Source organism: Homo sapiens, chromosome 7 (genome assembly GCF_000001405.40).
Source record: "Homo sapiens chromosome 7, GRCh38.p14 Primary Assembly".
Classification (NCBI taxonomy): Eukaryota; Metazoa; Chordata; class Mammalia; order Primates; family Hominidae; genus Homo; species Homo sapiens.
This window is the reverse complement of record NC_000007.14, coordinates 4,037,317-4,053,417: the sequence shown is the minus strand read 5'-3', so window position 1 is coordinate 4,053,417 and position 16,101 is coordinate 4,037,317. Positions and strand designations below refer to the sequence as shown.

Sequence of the window (16,101 nt, the reverse complement as noted above, 5' to 3'; positions counted from 1 at the left end):
AGGATGACGGAGGACCCTTAGAAAGGCCATACTGCATCGTTTGAGAGGAAAGGGGAGAGAGGCAAGCGTAAGGACACGGAAATAAAGGGTGAAGTGGGAAGGCAAGGAATCCGTCTTGGTGGCCTTGGCCTCTGCAAATGTCACCTGCTGGGAGTGCGGTGAGGCTGGGAGTCCAAAAACGGGAGCAGCACGGGGTGGAGCTGGCGACGGCCAAACTCTAGTAGAGACAAGTTCAGAAGGCTGAGCCCATCCAGCACTGGGGGAGAGACAAGCAGCAGCCCAGGGTGACTTAAAAAATAATTTTCCTAATTTTTTTTTTTTTTTTTTTTTTGAGACAGAGTCTCACTATGTCACCCAGGCTGGAGTGCAGTGGCATGATCACGGCTCACTGCAACCTCTGCCTCCTGGGTTCAAGTGATTCTCCTGCCTCAGCCTCCCGAGTAGCTGGGATTACAGGCGCCTGCCACCACACCCAGCTAATTTTTGTATTTTTCGTAATGACGGGGTTTCACCATCTTGGCCAGGCTGGTCGTGAACTCCTGACCTCGTGATCCAACTGCCTCAGCCTCCCAAAGTGCTGGGATTACAGGCATGAACCACTGCATGGCCCTAATTATTCTAGTTTTAACTTTCATTACAGAGGGAGTACAGACTCGTGGTAGAAACTAGAAAATGCAAAAAAATACAACGAAATATGCCAAAACTACTCATAATGATACCACATAGGGATAACAAGTCTTAAATTTGTGTGACGTATTTCTTCCAAGGTCTTTTCTCTGTTCATATTTCATACAGTATATTTTTATAAAATTTGGATCTCATAGTTTTGTATACTATTATTTCACAATGTTATATCATGACCATTTTTGCGCACAATTTTTGATCTTCAGAGTTTCGTTTTTTCAACAACTACAAAATATTTCTTATGTTGTCATTCTATACTTTTTCCCAATTCTCCCCATCTGGAACATCTGAATGCTTTTCACATTTTTTCCAGCTACAAATAACTGTAACGAGCCGCCTTGTATATATATAAATCTTTGTGTGCATCTGTGACTATTTTCTCGGGGTAACTTCATTAGCTAACGTTTTCCAGATGCGTCAGCTGGCCTGTGAGCAGAGAAGGAGTGGCTTCGAACTGACCAGATGGAGGTAATGCAAACTCAGGGAGCTTAGAAGGGCGTGGGGAAAAGGACCCTGGGAGCGAGGGTCAGGAAAGAATGGGCTGGGGGACGTCGGGGGGGGGGGGATCATGGAAGCAGGTGAGGGAATCAGAAATTGAACTCTACATGAAGAGCAAGTTCAGCAAGACCAAAGCTGTGGCCACACAGCTGGAACCTGATTCTCCACCCCCTGTCCCCAGAGCTCCTTCCTTGAGCCAAGGCCACCCTCCACTGTCCACGTGCCATCCTCTGCGAGGCATTATCAGTACTGATGCCTGATCTCCCTAGGTGAGCTGACTGCAAGCACTCCAAAAATCCGGGGCCTCCTCGTGATCCACCTCTGCCCTTGCCTGATTCTGGAAGTTGCAGCGGTATACACCTCTTTGACAAGTGACTTAAGAGACACGCAGAAAGGAATACTCACTGTCTTCCTGAGTCCAGACCAGCTGAGGTGTGCTGGGAGGCCCGTCCCCAGGGGTGGTGAAGCACAGAACGGAAGTGAAGTAGGCGGTAAACTTCTTCAGGTTCGTTATGTGTCCATGGTGGACTCCGTGGAAATCTGGGGCAATAGTGACCACAGTGACAGCCTCGGGGGCATCTGCCGGCCATGCCAGAAGCTGAGATGGAACAGGGTGAAAAAGACAGCCTGTTTTCAATGGCATTTCTCCACACTCATGTCTGCAGCAGAATTTTATTTTGTCTTTTAAAATGTAAAGTCATAATTAAGAAAGTCCATAAATCCTGCATTTTATAATCACGCTTGAAAAAAGTTGAGATAAAAATATATTTTATAGGTTTTTGTATACAAGCATGTATATTTACATGTATTTTATACTTGTATATGTAAATAACTACTTAACTCATATTAGAATAATGGACACTCCCTCAAATCTTCACCCTCTCTTCACTTAAGAAGGTTAAAAAACATATATATAATATATATTACATATATCCATATATAACATATATACATAAAAAGTATATATTATATATATATTATATACAACCTATATACTATATAACATATATAGTATATGTTATGTATACATATATAATATATACACATATATAATGTATAATATATACATATATACTATATGTATATATTATACATATATTATATATAATATGTATATATTATACATATATATTATATACACATATAGTATACTATATATAACATACATAACATATATATGTATAGTATACTATATATAACATACATAACATATACACATATAGTATACTATATATAACATATATAACATATATAGCATATATATAACATATATAGTATATATAATATATACGTATAGTATGTATGTATATATAATACATTATATATACTATATATAATATATACTATATGGTATATATAATATATACCATATAGTATATAATATATATTTTAACAGTAAAGAATAAAGATGAAACCATCTGTTAATTCAGCTGAAACAGCACAATGAAACAAATACAAATATTTTTCTAGAAAGCACCTACTCTGTCTCAAAAAAGACATCCATGATTCAACAGCAATAATCTTAATTATTTATAATTTATATCACACTAGTTTCGCAAAAAGGATTTTAGGAGACTGCTTACAATTTTAAAGAAATACAGACTGTATCCACAACCTAAGGAAAGCGTGTTCATGTTTTGGCAGCATTACGTAGGTGTGTGACTTTTAATTCCTTTGGCACCAAACATTTCTAGGACTAATTGGGTCTGAAAGTTGACATGCTGCAGGACGCAAAGCGTATTTACACAGATCAAACTGACAGCGAAGTCATCAAACGAACACTGCAGCCTTGCCAACGAGACTCGACAGGAGAGGGAAGAAGGCAAAAGCATCTTGCTTGATCAATATGATTTTCTTTCACAAAAGCTTCTGGCTTTGGATACTTCTGAGGGTAAACGAAAGGCAGGGAAAATTTCCAGCTACTTCTGCCTTTCTGGCAGACAAATCAGTGTTTTAGTAAGTTGAATGCAAATTGTGGGAAAAGAAAACTGAACCTTGTGTCTGAGGAAACTCACCCTCTGAATGTGAAATTACCAGGTATTGAGGAAACTAGATGGAATCCCTTCACTGTATAGAGCTTCCCCTGTCCATCGTCTATTAAAGACGATTAGTGGACCTATTGTAGCTAAAATCAAGGTGCGCTCCCAAATCCAATCAGGAGAAGCTGATCTGAAAGGGAGGATCAGCTGTGCTTTGTGATGGTGTATCCTGGTACATCAGTGAAGTTAACACACTCTGGTAGCTAAAGACACAAGAAGTCGGATGATGGAAATTTGTCTATGTGTCTAATTCAGTATGGGCGGGTAGCTGGAATCAACTGGTCTCAGTTCTTTAAACAGAACTCTCCCTGAAGTAGAAAGGGAGGAGAGAAAACTATCCTTTCTCCATGGAAATATCACTCACACCATTCCCTTTGCTCGGGGCCTGTGTTCTCCTGAGAGGACCTCCTTCTGGGAAGAAGTAGTTTGTGCAAATATTCATTCTAATCACTGAGACACGTCTCCCACCCACCATTTAAAAATGAATGGCCTTTCTCATAAGAAATTGCTCACTGATGTATGAACCATCCTCTTGATAACTAGGAATTTGAATTTCTGAACCTGCAGAGCTGATGCCAAGACTTTGGATAAATGGTGGTCTCACCAAGGTCAAGACGCCCTGTATCTTAATGCAACCAGCTCTTGATACACAAGAGGGGGTGCCTCCAGCTGCGTCGCGCTGTGGCTCCAGACAATGACAGCTGCCCACAGGCCCTGAACCCAGGCCACGTACCTTGTATCCCTGGTTGATGCCATTGATAAACTGCTGAGGCGGAGGGTTCCACAGGAACTGAATGGTGGTGGAGTTCACGGCTTCCGTCTGCACGTTCTGCGGGGGCGCGGTGGGCACTGTGGCAGGGCAGTCATTGATGACAGCAGAACAAATGGCAGGAGGGACCATGGGGTGGAGAGACAGAAAGGAAACCCTTAGCTGCCATCATGCTCACAGGCAATTATTGCACTGAGACCGAGGAAGTGTGATGAATGTTTTGGGAAGCTTACAGTGGCATTACCAAGAAAGAGAATTGGGCTATTTTTCATTTTCTCTTGCAGAATTCTTTAAGGCATAGGCAGAAAGGTGGACCAGACCATCCTCTCATTCCACAGATGGGCCTTTCCTGTGGTTCCAAGACGGACGGCAAGCAAAGCTTTCTCTAATCTCTTTTTCAATGAACAGATATTTGAGATCAAGGCAAGGTTTCATCTAGAAATCCTCCCTCAATATATACCACTATGTTTCAAGCTAAATTGTTCATTACATTGAGGCGGGGGGTGGGGAACAAGCAAACAAAATCATCACCCTTGTCCCATATATGCTGTTGGAGGTTAAATTTCTCTTTGTCTGTCAACGGGGACAATCATTTTTGGATTTTCCACAGTTTGTTTCTCTCTTTTACAGAACAGCTATTGAACCCAATTATATACCTGCCAAATGACTGCCTTCAGGGCATGCCCTTTCTAGGGGACATGCTCGTGTAACTGTAAGAGGCAGATGCTCTGCAGAGCAGCAAACTCGTGAAGGGCAGATGACTGCCTCTGGCCTGGGAGGGCTGGAGGGCCTCATCTGGACTGTGTTTGGGAGGAAGGGTGGCCTGTGAGGGGTAAGTTCTTGAGAAGGGCACTCTCAGCTGGGAGAGCCATGGGAAAAGGCAAAATGTTGCCAAGGAGCCTGGCGAGGATGGGTGCACACGGAGCACGGCTGGACGAGGGGTGGGGGGAAGCGGGGTGCTGACAGTGCGCGGGTCTCGCTGGGATTGTCTACCGTGCCCAGCAGCACGGCTGATGACGCATACATAAGGCAATGGGGAACTGAAGGCCTTCCGGAAAGGGCAGTGGGCAGGGCTAGCTTCTTCAGGATGGGAACCCCAGTGGCCTGCAGAGAGGAGCCAAGCCTCCGGCTGCACCATCAAGGCTTCCACTGGGTGGAAGGAAGGTCCTGGTTCTTCAGGTGCTTGTTCTAAAGTGAGGCACAGAAGCCTAAGATCCTGTGGATCCACGCAGAGAAAGAAAAACAAGGGTCTTCTCGGCCGGAACACACGGGATCCCATGTGGTCCTGGTGAAAATCGCTACACTCTTCTCGGCTCCCTTCCCCAAAAGCCCGTCTCAGGCAGAGATGAGACAAACATAAACTTGGCCAAGCCCCTCAAGTCTTCTCTTCCCAGGCATGCAGGAGGACCCTCTGTCCCCATCCACTGCTGGTCATGGCTGTGATGCCCCTCGGCCCCCTCTCTAAGTCACCAGGAAACTGCCCTACTTGCCATCCTGTAAAATGTGTGGGTTAAAAATGGACACAGGGCTTGCTGTGCCTGGGATGCCGAGCATTGGAAAGAACATCACATCCACCTAAGAACAAGAAAAGTTGAACAAAGTACAAAACAATCACTTTTCCTGAGCCCATAAGACAGCTTAGGTTGCATACCAGCCAGGTGGTCGGAAACACAAGGAAAGATGGGCCTGTCCAAGGAGTCAGGATGGGTCCTGCTCACCCGTCACAGAGCGCGGGAGGAGGAGACAATGGAAATTCTGAAATTCACCCAAAATCCTCAATGAATGGCCGAAGGCTGAATGTGAGCTACAAGAGAGGACAGAAGCTTTGGGAGCGCAGACACACAGCATCCAGAGGAACAAAGGTAAGAACTACGCATATTTCATGGATGAATTCCACCAAGCATTTGAGGAATAAATTAAACCAATTCTAAAGCATTACCCTGATACCAAAATCAGAAAAAGCCTCTGAAGGAAAACTATAGACCAATATCCATCATGAACACAAATTCAAAAAAATCCTCAACAAAATATTAGAAAATAAAATTCAACAATATATAACAGTCATAGTCTAGCCTGATCAAGCGAGGTGTATCTTATACATGGAAGGCTGGCTCAAGATGTGAATAACAATCAAAGTAATTCATCACATCAACAGAATAAAATAGAAAAACATATGAACATCTTAATAGATTTAGGAAAAGCATTCGGCAAAATTTAATAATCAATTGTGATTTTTTAAAAAAGAAAAAACCCTCTCAGCAAAGTAGGAATTTAAAGGAACATTCTAAATTTTAAAAAGGGCACCTATAAAACGCCTACAGCTAATATCTCATTTAAGCTCTAAAAACATAAAATAGATACAAGTTTAACAAACTACGTGCAATAGCTGTGCACGGAAAACTACAAAACACGAATGAAGGAAACCAAACACCTAAGTCAATACAGAATCATATCACATGGGTGCATTGGAAGAAAACACAGTAAAGAGGTCAATTCTCCCCAAACCAATCAATATAGTGAATAAAACCCCAATCTAAATCCCAGCTACACTGCACTCCAGCCTGGGTTACAGAGCAAGACCCGCTCTCAAAAAAGAAAAAAAAAAAATCACAGCTAGATATCTCCTAGACATTGAAAAGGTGATTCTAAAATCTATATGGAAAAGCAAGGTAACTAGAATAGCCAAAGCAAGTCTGAAAAAAATTTGGATAACCTTTACTGTATGATTTCAAGACTAACTGGAAATCAACAGTAATTAAAACGGGTGTTACTGGAGAAGGGCTGGACACACTGATCAGAGAAGACAGGCAAGAAATTACTCACACATATATCACTGGTTTTCAATAAAAGCACAAAGAAAAGATAGTAATTTCGACAAATGGTGCTGGAAATATTAGACATTCATTCACAAAATAAGACAAAATCTAGATCTATATTTCTTACCATTTATAAAACCTAACTCAAAATGGATCAGAGGCATAAATGTAAACCTATAATTATTAATACTTCTAGGAAAAAACAGTTATGACACTGGGTTAGGGAAAAATTTCTCAGATAGAATATCAAGGACATAATCCATAAAAGAAAAAAAATGAATAAAGCTGACTTCATGAAAAGACAGGCCACAGACTGGGAGACAACGTGTGCAAGACAGATACCCAATAAAGAACGTTTATCCAGGCCGGGTGCTGTGGCTCATGGCTCACGGCTGGAATGCCAGAACTTTGGGAGGTTGAGGTAGGAGGATCGCTTGAGGCCAGGACTTTGAGGCCAGCCTGGGCAACATAGTGAGACCCCACCGCTACAAAGAATTACAAAATTAAAAAAAAAAATCAGCTGGGTGTGGTAGTGCATGCCTGTAGTCCCTGCTACTCGGGAGGCTGAGGCAGGAGGATCCCTTGACCCCAGGAGTGTGAGGCTGCCGTGAGCAACCAAGTAAGACTTTGTCTCTTAAAAAGAAAAAAACAAAAAAAAAGAACAAAAACCTACTATGCAGAAAAAAGAATTTTCAAAATTCAACTGTAAGAAAACCAAAAATGTACGCAAAAAGAATAGTTACTTCACCAAAGCCAATAGAACGACAGGAAATCCATGAGTGAAGAGAACCTCACCATCCCATTTACCATGATGGGATGCCCTGGACCCCTATTAGAAGGACTCAAACATCACAAACCAACAGCAATAACAACCCATGTCCGTGAAGATGTGGAGTGCCCAAGGCCCTCGCAGTTTGAGATGCGGATGCCCATGGCACGGCCACCTGGTGGGACCGTTTGGTGCTTTCTTACGAAGTTAAACATGCGCGAGCCACGTGACCCGGTAATCCTGCCCCCGGGTAACTGTGCACAAGACATGTAAAAGTTCACATAAAAATCTACATGAAGCGGGGCATAGTGGCTCACACTTGTAATCCCAGCATTTTGGGAGGCCGAGGTGGGAGGATCGCTTGAGCCCAGGAGGTTGAAACCAGTCTGGGTAACACAGAGAGACCCCGTCCCTACAAAAAAAAATCAAAAAAGTAGCTGGGCATGATGGCACACACCTATAGTCCCAGCTACTTGGGAGGCTGAGATGGGGGGATCACTAGAGCTCAGGAGGTTGAGGCTGCAGTGAGCTGTGATTACACCACTGCACTCCAGCCTGGGCACAGAGTGAGACCCTGTCTCTAAATAAATAAATAAATAAAATCTATATGTGATATTCATAGCAGCTTTAATAATCACCCCAAACTGCAAACATCCTAAATGTTTTTAAACCAATGGATGGGAAACAAACTGTAGTGTGTCTATGGAATGGGATGCTGCTCAGTAGTAGAAGGGAACAAAATACTTATACGCATGAACGCACAGGTGAATCTCAAATGCATGACACTAAGGGAAGGAAGCCAGGTTCTGAAGACTGCACACTGCATGCTCCATTTATATGATGTTCTGAAATAGGCAAAGATATAAGAAGAAAAAACAGCAGTGCTTGCCAAGTGCTGGGGTGGGGGTAAAGGGGTGAATATAAAAGCACAAAGACTTTTGGGGGAGGTGACAGAAATAGTCATATCTCCGTCACGCTGGTGAATGTGGGCTAAAGATGTTTGTGAAAATGTATATATAACTGTACTCTAGAAAGGGTGAGTTTTACTGTATGTAAATTATGAAACCACAATAAATCTCACTTTTCAAACATGCTGCAGGCAGGGCATGGTGACTGATGCCTGTAATCCCAACACTTTGGGAGTCTGGGGTGGGAGGATCGCTTGAGCCCAGGAGTTTGAGACCAGCCTGGGCAACAGGGTGAGATAATCTGTCTCTACAAAAGTAAAAAAAGTAGCCAGGCATGGTGGCATGCACCTGTAGTCCTAGCTACTTGGGAGGCTGAGGTGGGAGGATGGTTTGAGCCCAGGAGTTTGAGGTTACCGTGAGCTATGCTCCTGCCACTGCACTCCAAGCAACAGAGTAAGGCCCTGTCCCTAAAAAAAAATAAAGCAAAGCAAAATGCTGCATATTCTTTGATACTTTTCCCATGAAGAGGTGGTGTCTATGTCTGAAACCCTTCAATGTAGGCTCTGAGACTGCTTGACCAATAGAGTATGATCCAGGTCCTAATAAACTAGCAGCTTCTGCTGCCTTCCGGGAGCCCTGAGCAGCGGTAGGAGTGTGGGGATCCTGAGGCTGCAGGCTGGCGAGGCCAGGGGCAGCTGCCCAGTGGACAGCCCAGGGAGCCAGCCTTTCCGCTTTCCTAGCCATGGCGCCAACGTGTGCACGAAGCCATCTTCCCAACTGAATGAGAGGCACAGACGGTCACATATCCAAGCCCTGCTCCAACTCCTGACCCGCAAAATCATGACATATAAACAGGTGTTGCTTTTAATCTCTAAGTTTTGGGGTAGTCAGTTAGGCAGCAATAGATGACCAGAACAATCTCTGCTGAAAGAAAGAAAAGAAAACACAAGAGGAGGAAGGAGAAAAAGGAAGAAAAGGGAAAAGAAAGAATAAACGCCAGGAGCTATTGGGAAAAGACCAACATTTGTTGTGACGTTTTCTCTTAGAACCCACAACCTCTGGGGTTGAGGACGGCATCTCATTCTCGGTAGGTTTAGCTCTGGGGTTTCACGAAGCCCAATTACTGACTCAGGAATGCCAGAATACCAAATATCAAATGTTGTTAAATTCTCTAAAGTAAGGCTATGAGGATCATATGCAACAAAAAAATTTGCATAATTTAAATAAGTAGTCATTTCCTGCAGATTCAAGAGGACGTCTGTACCTTTGCGTGGCTGCAGCACAATCCTCACGTCAAGTTCTGGTCCTGCATCCTGGAGGCAGTGCCTCTCTGGGGCACACCATGTTTACAGAGAAACAAATTCCTGAGTTCACCCATTTAACAAGGCATTTTCCCCTCCCTTCTCATTATGTGGGCTACCTAAAATCACGAGCTCTCACACTCACTCTACCTGAGCCCCTGGCTGTGACACTCATTCTACCTGAGGCCCTGGCTGTGACACTCACTCTACCTGAGCCCCTGGCTGTGACACTCACTCTGCCTGAGTCCCTGGCTGTGACACTCACTCTGCCTGGGTCCCTGGCTGTGACACTCACTCTACCTGGGCCCCCGGCTGTGACTCACTCTACCTGGGCCCCTGGCTGTGACACTCACTCTACCTGGGCCCCTGGCTGTGACACTCACTCTACCTGAGCCCCTGGCTGTGACACTCACTCTACCTGGGCCCCTGGCTGTGACACTCACTCTACTTGAGCTCCTGGCTATGATACTCACTCTACCTGGGTCTCTGGCTGTGACACTCACTCTACCTGAGCCCCTGGCTGTGACACTCACTCTACCTGGGCTCCCTGGTGTCAGATTCGGAGCCTGACCTGTGGGCACACACTCTCCTTCCCCAGTCACAGGACAAGGGAGGTTCTAAAGCCTCAGTTTCCTTTCTCTCAATACCCTAGGTTTAATTCAAAAAATCGCCAACCTTGCTTTTATTCCCAGGTCTTCGGCTTCTCTTTGTCCTGATTACCGCCATCAGAAATGACTCAGAAATTTGTGGACAATGGAATTAAAAATGCCCTCAAGCGAGAAAGAGTTACAGCCGGCAAATCCTTCTTGACAGTGTTGAAAATAAAAGAGTGGTTATGGCTGGAAAGGTCTTAATTATTGAGGGTTACATAACCCTGCCCCTTCTTAAGCCAACGACAAGGGCTTAGTCCAACTATGCTGCAGAAAAGTCAAGGCAAAAGGGGTTTCAAGTGTGCAGCGTGGCCTCCCGCTGCTCAGACTAAGCCTCAAGGGACACTTCCTCCCCGGATGATTAGCATTAGACCCTTGCTGTGCCTCCAATGGCAGGCCTGGAGGCAGGCTGGTAACGTGACAGGTGTTATGCTCCTTTCTGGTTTTCACTGAGCAGACAAATATCTTTTCACTGGATAATTCCCCCCACGCAGGCACCTGGCTGAGCTGGCTCTCAGCCTAAACCCATTGGACACTGTCTTGATGCTCACAGCCAATGACAAAGTCTTCTGTCCTGAAGCCCCCGACACTCAGGGAATAATCACAGGTGAAAGGAGAAACCAGAAGAGCAGTTTCAGGCACTAGGGGTTTTATATCCCACGGAAATATGTGAAACCTGGATCAGAGAGTAGCAGTTTCTCCTACCTGAAGAGAGGATTTCTGGGAGTGGATGGGGAAGAAGGAGGTGGGACAGTGCAGTGGTCTCTCACTGTGCCTCGGATAGGTTACACAGGGACCCAGAGACAGGGATATCTGTTAGTTTTTGTAGCCATAAACCACCGTTTACAGCCATTCAAACATTTGCAACTGTTGGCCGGGCACGGTGGTTCATGCCTGTAATCCCAGCACTTTGGGAGGCCAAGGTGGGTGGATCACGAGGTCAAGAGATAGAGACCATCCGGGCCAACATGATGAAACCCCACCTCTACTAAAAACACAAAAATTAGCTGGGCGTGGTGGCGCGGGCCTGTAGTCCCAGCTACTCAGGAGGATGAGGCAGGAGTATTGCTCGAACCTGGGAGGCGGAGGTTGCAGTGAGCCGAGATCTCACCACTGCACTCCAGCCTGGCAAGGGAGCGAGACTCCGTCACAAAAAAGAAAAAAAAAATTGCAGCTGTTGAAGTTACATTTCATGCTGTTTTCACTATATATATGCTGTGTTTTCACGACACGCATGCATTAAACATTCCTCAGTGAAAGATGTCATTCTGGAAAAGCCATGTGTTGTGTGATTCCAACTACATATGACATTTTGGAAAAGGTCAAACTATGGAGACAGCAAAAGGACCAGTGGCTGCTGGGGGTCGGCAGTCAGGAGGGGTGAACAGGAGGAGCATGGGGGTTTTGAGGGCAAGGAAACTCTTCTGTAGGCTATAACGGGGGATACATGTCACCATATGCTTCTCAAAGCCCACAGAATGCACAGTGCCAAGCGTGAACCCTCACGTAAACTATGGATTTTGGGTAGTGATGTATCAAGGTAGGTTCACTGCTCATAAGAAAGGTACCACTCTGGTGGGGGATGCTGATAGTGGGAGAGGCTTTGTACATGTTGGGCAGAGAGTATATCAAAACTCTTTTAACTTTCTACTCAACTGTCCTATGAATCTGAAAGTACTCCAAAAAAAAAAAAAAGTAAAACAAAACTATGCATGTGGTTCCTGTAAACTTTCTGAACCCGGTAACTCTCTTGAGAGGATCTGCTGCAGAAAGGCACAGGTTGGCTGAGCCACACGGCACTTCCCTGACACCCCCATGGACCCCTCTTATCAAGCTGTTTTATTTCACTTGCAGGTTGTTTCTCATCTGTGAATTTGTTTGTCTGTACCAGGCACAGGACCAATTGATACAGGAGCTAGAAAGAAATTATTTAGGCAGATAGTGAGGGTAAGAGAGTCTTTGGCAAGGCTTCCCTTTTAACAGAAAACAGCTCCCAAATCATTTCTTTTCTAACAAAGAGCAGCCTGAAAAACTGAGCTGCAGACATAGATAAGCAAGCTAGAAACTTGCACAGGTGAATGCCGGCAGCTGTGCCAACAGAAAAGGGCTACCTGAGGGCCAGACACATTCAACATGGAGGCTCCATCTTCCGTTTTCTTTGTCACCACGTGTACAGTAAAAATGCAGGCAACAAGGCACCAGCGGGGGAGATAACCCATCCGCATAATAAAAGATTAGGGTGTGGGTGGCCAGATTTTTGGAGGCTATGCAAATGGCGCATCCAGTCCTGGTTTTTTGTGCCTTATGCAAATGGCACACCTGGTCTGACCAATCTTTCATGCCCTATGTAAATCAGACATTGCCTCCTCCAGCTCATCTGTAAAATCCTTTGCATTTTGTGGCGGACTGGAAAAACCCACTCCGGACCCCTCTGCAGGAGAGAGCTCTTCTCTCTTTCGCCTATTAAACCTCCACTCTTAACCTCACTCCTTGTGTGTCCGGGTCCTTGATTTCGTCAGCGTGAGACAACAAACTTTGGGTATTACCCTAGACAAAAATGCCGCTTCACAATGTGGTTCGACTTGTGTGTAAGTAGGTTGTGAGTTGTTTTTCAGTTGCCACGGACCCCCGGGTTGAAGACTACAGACTCTGAGCACACTCAGATGAACCAAGCATGCAACCACGGTGGGGGAACCTAAGTGCTCAGGCAGAGGAGCAGGGACTGGATTAAGAAATGGACATGGCAAAGCTGAAGCAGGATCCAATCAGATTCAGCTCTGGCGTTACCCCACTGCAAGATCCAATCAGAACACGCCTCATTACCCTATGCTTATAAAGCCCGGTACAGCCCCCAGTGTGGTGAGACAGATTTGAGTCTTTCCTCCTGCTCCTCACCACTTGACATTCAATAAAGCTTTTTTGCTGCAAAAACCCAGTGCTTCAGCGTCTTCCTCTCATGCAGGGACAGACAAACCCAGTTTGGTTCAGTAACATGCTCAGCATGTGGGGGCGCTTCTTATTCAATTAATTTGCTAGTATTTTTACCTATGTGACTAAGTAAAACGTATGATTATGTTTATAATTATTATCTGGTATTAGGTGTTCCTTATTAAAACAAAAATGATTTTTAAAATTTTCTTCTCCCCCACCCCCTTCCCTTCGTTTCTGGCTAGTGATGATGTAAATTTAGCAAGATCTGATTACTGATGGAATCTCAAAATAAATTACTGTTTTTACAGATTTTTAAAGATGTTATAATAAGTTCCATAATTAAATCAACTCAGTAAAGAGGACTGTAGGGTTTTATATCTTCAAATAATTGAGTTTTCAAAATATTTTGGATCAGAGATGACATCACTGACATTTATATTCATGAGTTTTTCAGAACTTTAATTGTCCAATCAAATAAAAAGGAATGTCAATATTGCTCATTTTGGTTAATGCAAGCTTTGCTTTTTGAATTTTTCAACTTGATTTATTTTGAAACATTCTTGAGGATGTATGCAATCAAAATATCTTGAAAAGTTAATTTTTGAAGCCATTAAGGCCTACAGGCCACTTTATATACTTTTATATTTAAATATGTATATATTTAGTAAAATTACTTAGGTTGATATTTTTAATACTGTTGCATATTTATAGAGAGATATTTTCCCATCATAATAAGAAACTTTTTTTTTTATTATACTTTAAGTTTTCCGGTACATGTGCACAACGTGCTGGTTAGTTACATATGTATACATGTGCCATGTTGGTGTGCTGAACCCATTAACTCGTCATTTAACATTAGGTATATCTCCTAATGCTATCCCTCCCCGCTCCCCCCACCCCACAACAGGCCCCGGTGTGTGATGTTCCCCTTCCTGTGTCCATGTGTTCTCATTGTTCAATTCCCACCTATGAGTGAGAACATGCGGTGTTTGGTTTTTTGTCCTTACGTTTTTTAATTAAAGAAAGTCATCAAGTGTACCAAGTAGAGTGGTAAAAAAAGTTGCTACTCAGGAAATTATAATGAAAATGATCTCAAATTCAGATTTGCATTTTCCAATAATCCTGTCTTCTTCTGTCTCAATGTCGTATTTAATGAAAAAGGAATCAGAAGATGCAATGACATCAGGCAAATTATGCCAGCACCTTTCCCTAAAGCATTGATCTCATACAGAAAAAGATCAGAACTGGGAAAATTGTCTGCAGTTACACAATAAGAAGTGGGAGTATTGATGAGTGGACCACAACTGTGTCAGACTGAATACAAGATGCTAGTTCCAATGTCCTGCATTTAACAGCCAAAGCCAAAATTCCTCCTGCAATTGCAGAATCACTCACTTTGCCAAGGTGCATTAGAAACTGTCAGCAACATGTTTGGGACCAGTGAAGCACAGGAAATAAGAAAAGTACCGCTTTCGAATAATACCATTAGAAGATGCATGGATGACAGGTCAAATGACCCAGAGAAACCCAGTCTAGAGGATTATTACATCAAACAAGCTTCCACTGCAGATTGATAAGTGCTGATGTTAGTAACGGCACTTGGTGTATGGCATGAGTTTGAATCCCTCAAAATAAATGCTTTGAACACTATTTAAGGTACAAAAAAAAAAATTCCCTGTCTTCAATTGTTTGCCCCGGTCATAGACTCTGGGCGTGAAGAGTTTGGAGTTTAAGTTTCAGTGGAACTCAACAGAGACATCTGCCAGGAAGTGGGGAGGCCAGGACAGGGCAGAAGGAGAAGCTGTCCCACAGGATGGCAGTAGCTGAGGCCTCAGTCGATCCTCTGGGGAGCTCTGGAATAGAGGGGTCTTAAGTTGTCCTCAACTGATTCAAAGGGGACTGGGCTTTCCTGTGGCGCCGTTAGCCACAGGATGACCCATGGGAGGGGTGTCACCTTGGTCAGGCAGTTCTCAGTGAAGGTCACAGCTGTGAGCTGGGCAGCCTATGTGCCAGCACTGGGGACAGCTGTGTCACCCTGAAGAACCGACCTGGGTGGCAGCACTACAGTATCTACCATATACCAGACAAACTGCTGGGGATGAAATGGTCAAAGCTTACACAAACACTTTGGAATACATAATAGAGAAAAAAATTATAAGTTTTGGATACCAATGATGGTAAAAAGGTATAAACACTTTATAGCAAAATTCAATCTGAAGAGCCTGGGAATCAAGAAATCCATTGTTGTATTCGCAGAGAAGGTCTCTAGGTAAAAGATGGCCTATAAAGCTGTATTCCTCATTAAGTGATGTTATCAGAATGGCACGTCTAATAAAATCCAAGATGCTATGGTCCCACTTGCTTTTTGCTTTGTGAAAAATATGGAATCAGAATGTCATTTTTGACAAAAGAAGCTATTTTATTTTTATTTTTGAGATGTGGTCTTGCACTGTCGCCCAAGCTGGGATGCAATGTTTCAATCATGGCCCACTGCAGCAACCTCAACCTCCCAGGCTCAGGCGATCCTCCCAACTCAGCCTCCCGAGTAGCTGCAATTACAGATGAGTCATCACAATCAGCTAATTTTTTGCATTTTTTGTAGAGATGGGTCTCACTATGCGGCCCAAGCTGGTCTCAAGCCCCTGGCTTCCACTGATCCCCCCACCTCATCCTCCCAAAGTATTGGGATTACAGGTAATGAGCCACCATGCCTAGCCCAAGAATTTCTTTTGAGAG

At 43.9% G+C, this 16,101-nt stretch overlaps 1 protein-coding gene across 5 annotated transcripts in view, besides 3 other annotated features; it reads right to left on the bottom strand.

The window, feature by feature from the left end:
* SDK1 (sidekick cell adhesion molecule 1) overlaps nucleotides 1-16,101 on the bottom strand; it is a 967,749-nt gene that overhangs the window by 215,583 nt on the left and 736,065 nt on the right. For all 5 annotated transcript variants that reach the window (NM_152744.4, XM_047420038.1, XM_047420037.1 and 2 more), the window contains 2 exons: nucleotides 3,955-4,070; nucleotides 1,588-1,780 (listed from right to left, as the gene is read on the bottom strand). In NM_152744.4, the coding sequence (NP_689957.3) occupies nucleotides 1,588-1,780; nucleotides 3,955-4,070 (309 nt within the window). The remainder of the gene's footprint in view (nucleotides 1-1,587; nucleotides 1,781-3,954; nucleotides 4,071-16,101) is intronic.
* Nucleotides 10,125-10,650: an enhancer, noted in NCBI's record as "H3K27ac-H3K4me1 hESC enhancer chr7:4082400-4082925 (GRCh37/hg19 assembly coordinates)". NCBI's record gives its function as "activates a minimal SCP1, AML or CMV promoter by ChIP-STARR-seq in naive H9 embryonic stem cells {active_cell/tissue: H9 hESC(naive)}" and the evidence as "EXISTENCE:reporter gene assay evidence [ECO:0000049][PMID:30033119]".
* Nucleotides 11,991-12,626: an enhancer, noted in NCBI's record as "OCT4-NANOG-H3K27ac hESC enhancer chr7:4080424-4081059 (GRCh37/hg19 assembly coordinates)". NCBI's record gives its function as "activates a minimal SCP1, AML or CMV promoter by ChIP-STARR-seq in primed H9 embryonic stem cells {active_cell/tissue: H9 hESC(primed)}" and the evidence as "EXISTENCE:reporter gene assay evidence [ECO:0000049][PMID:30033119]".
* Nucleotides 12,627-13,263: an enhancer, noted in NCBI's record as "OCT4-NANOG-H3K27ac hESC enhancer chr7:4079787-4080423 (GRCh37/hg19 assembly coordinates)". NCBI's record gives its function as "activates a minimal SCP1, AML or CMV promoter by ChIP-STARR-seq in primed H9 embryonic stem cells {active_cell/tissue: H9 hESC(primed)}" and the evidence as "EXISTENCE:reporter gene assay evidence [ECO:0000049][PMID:30033119]".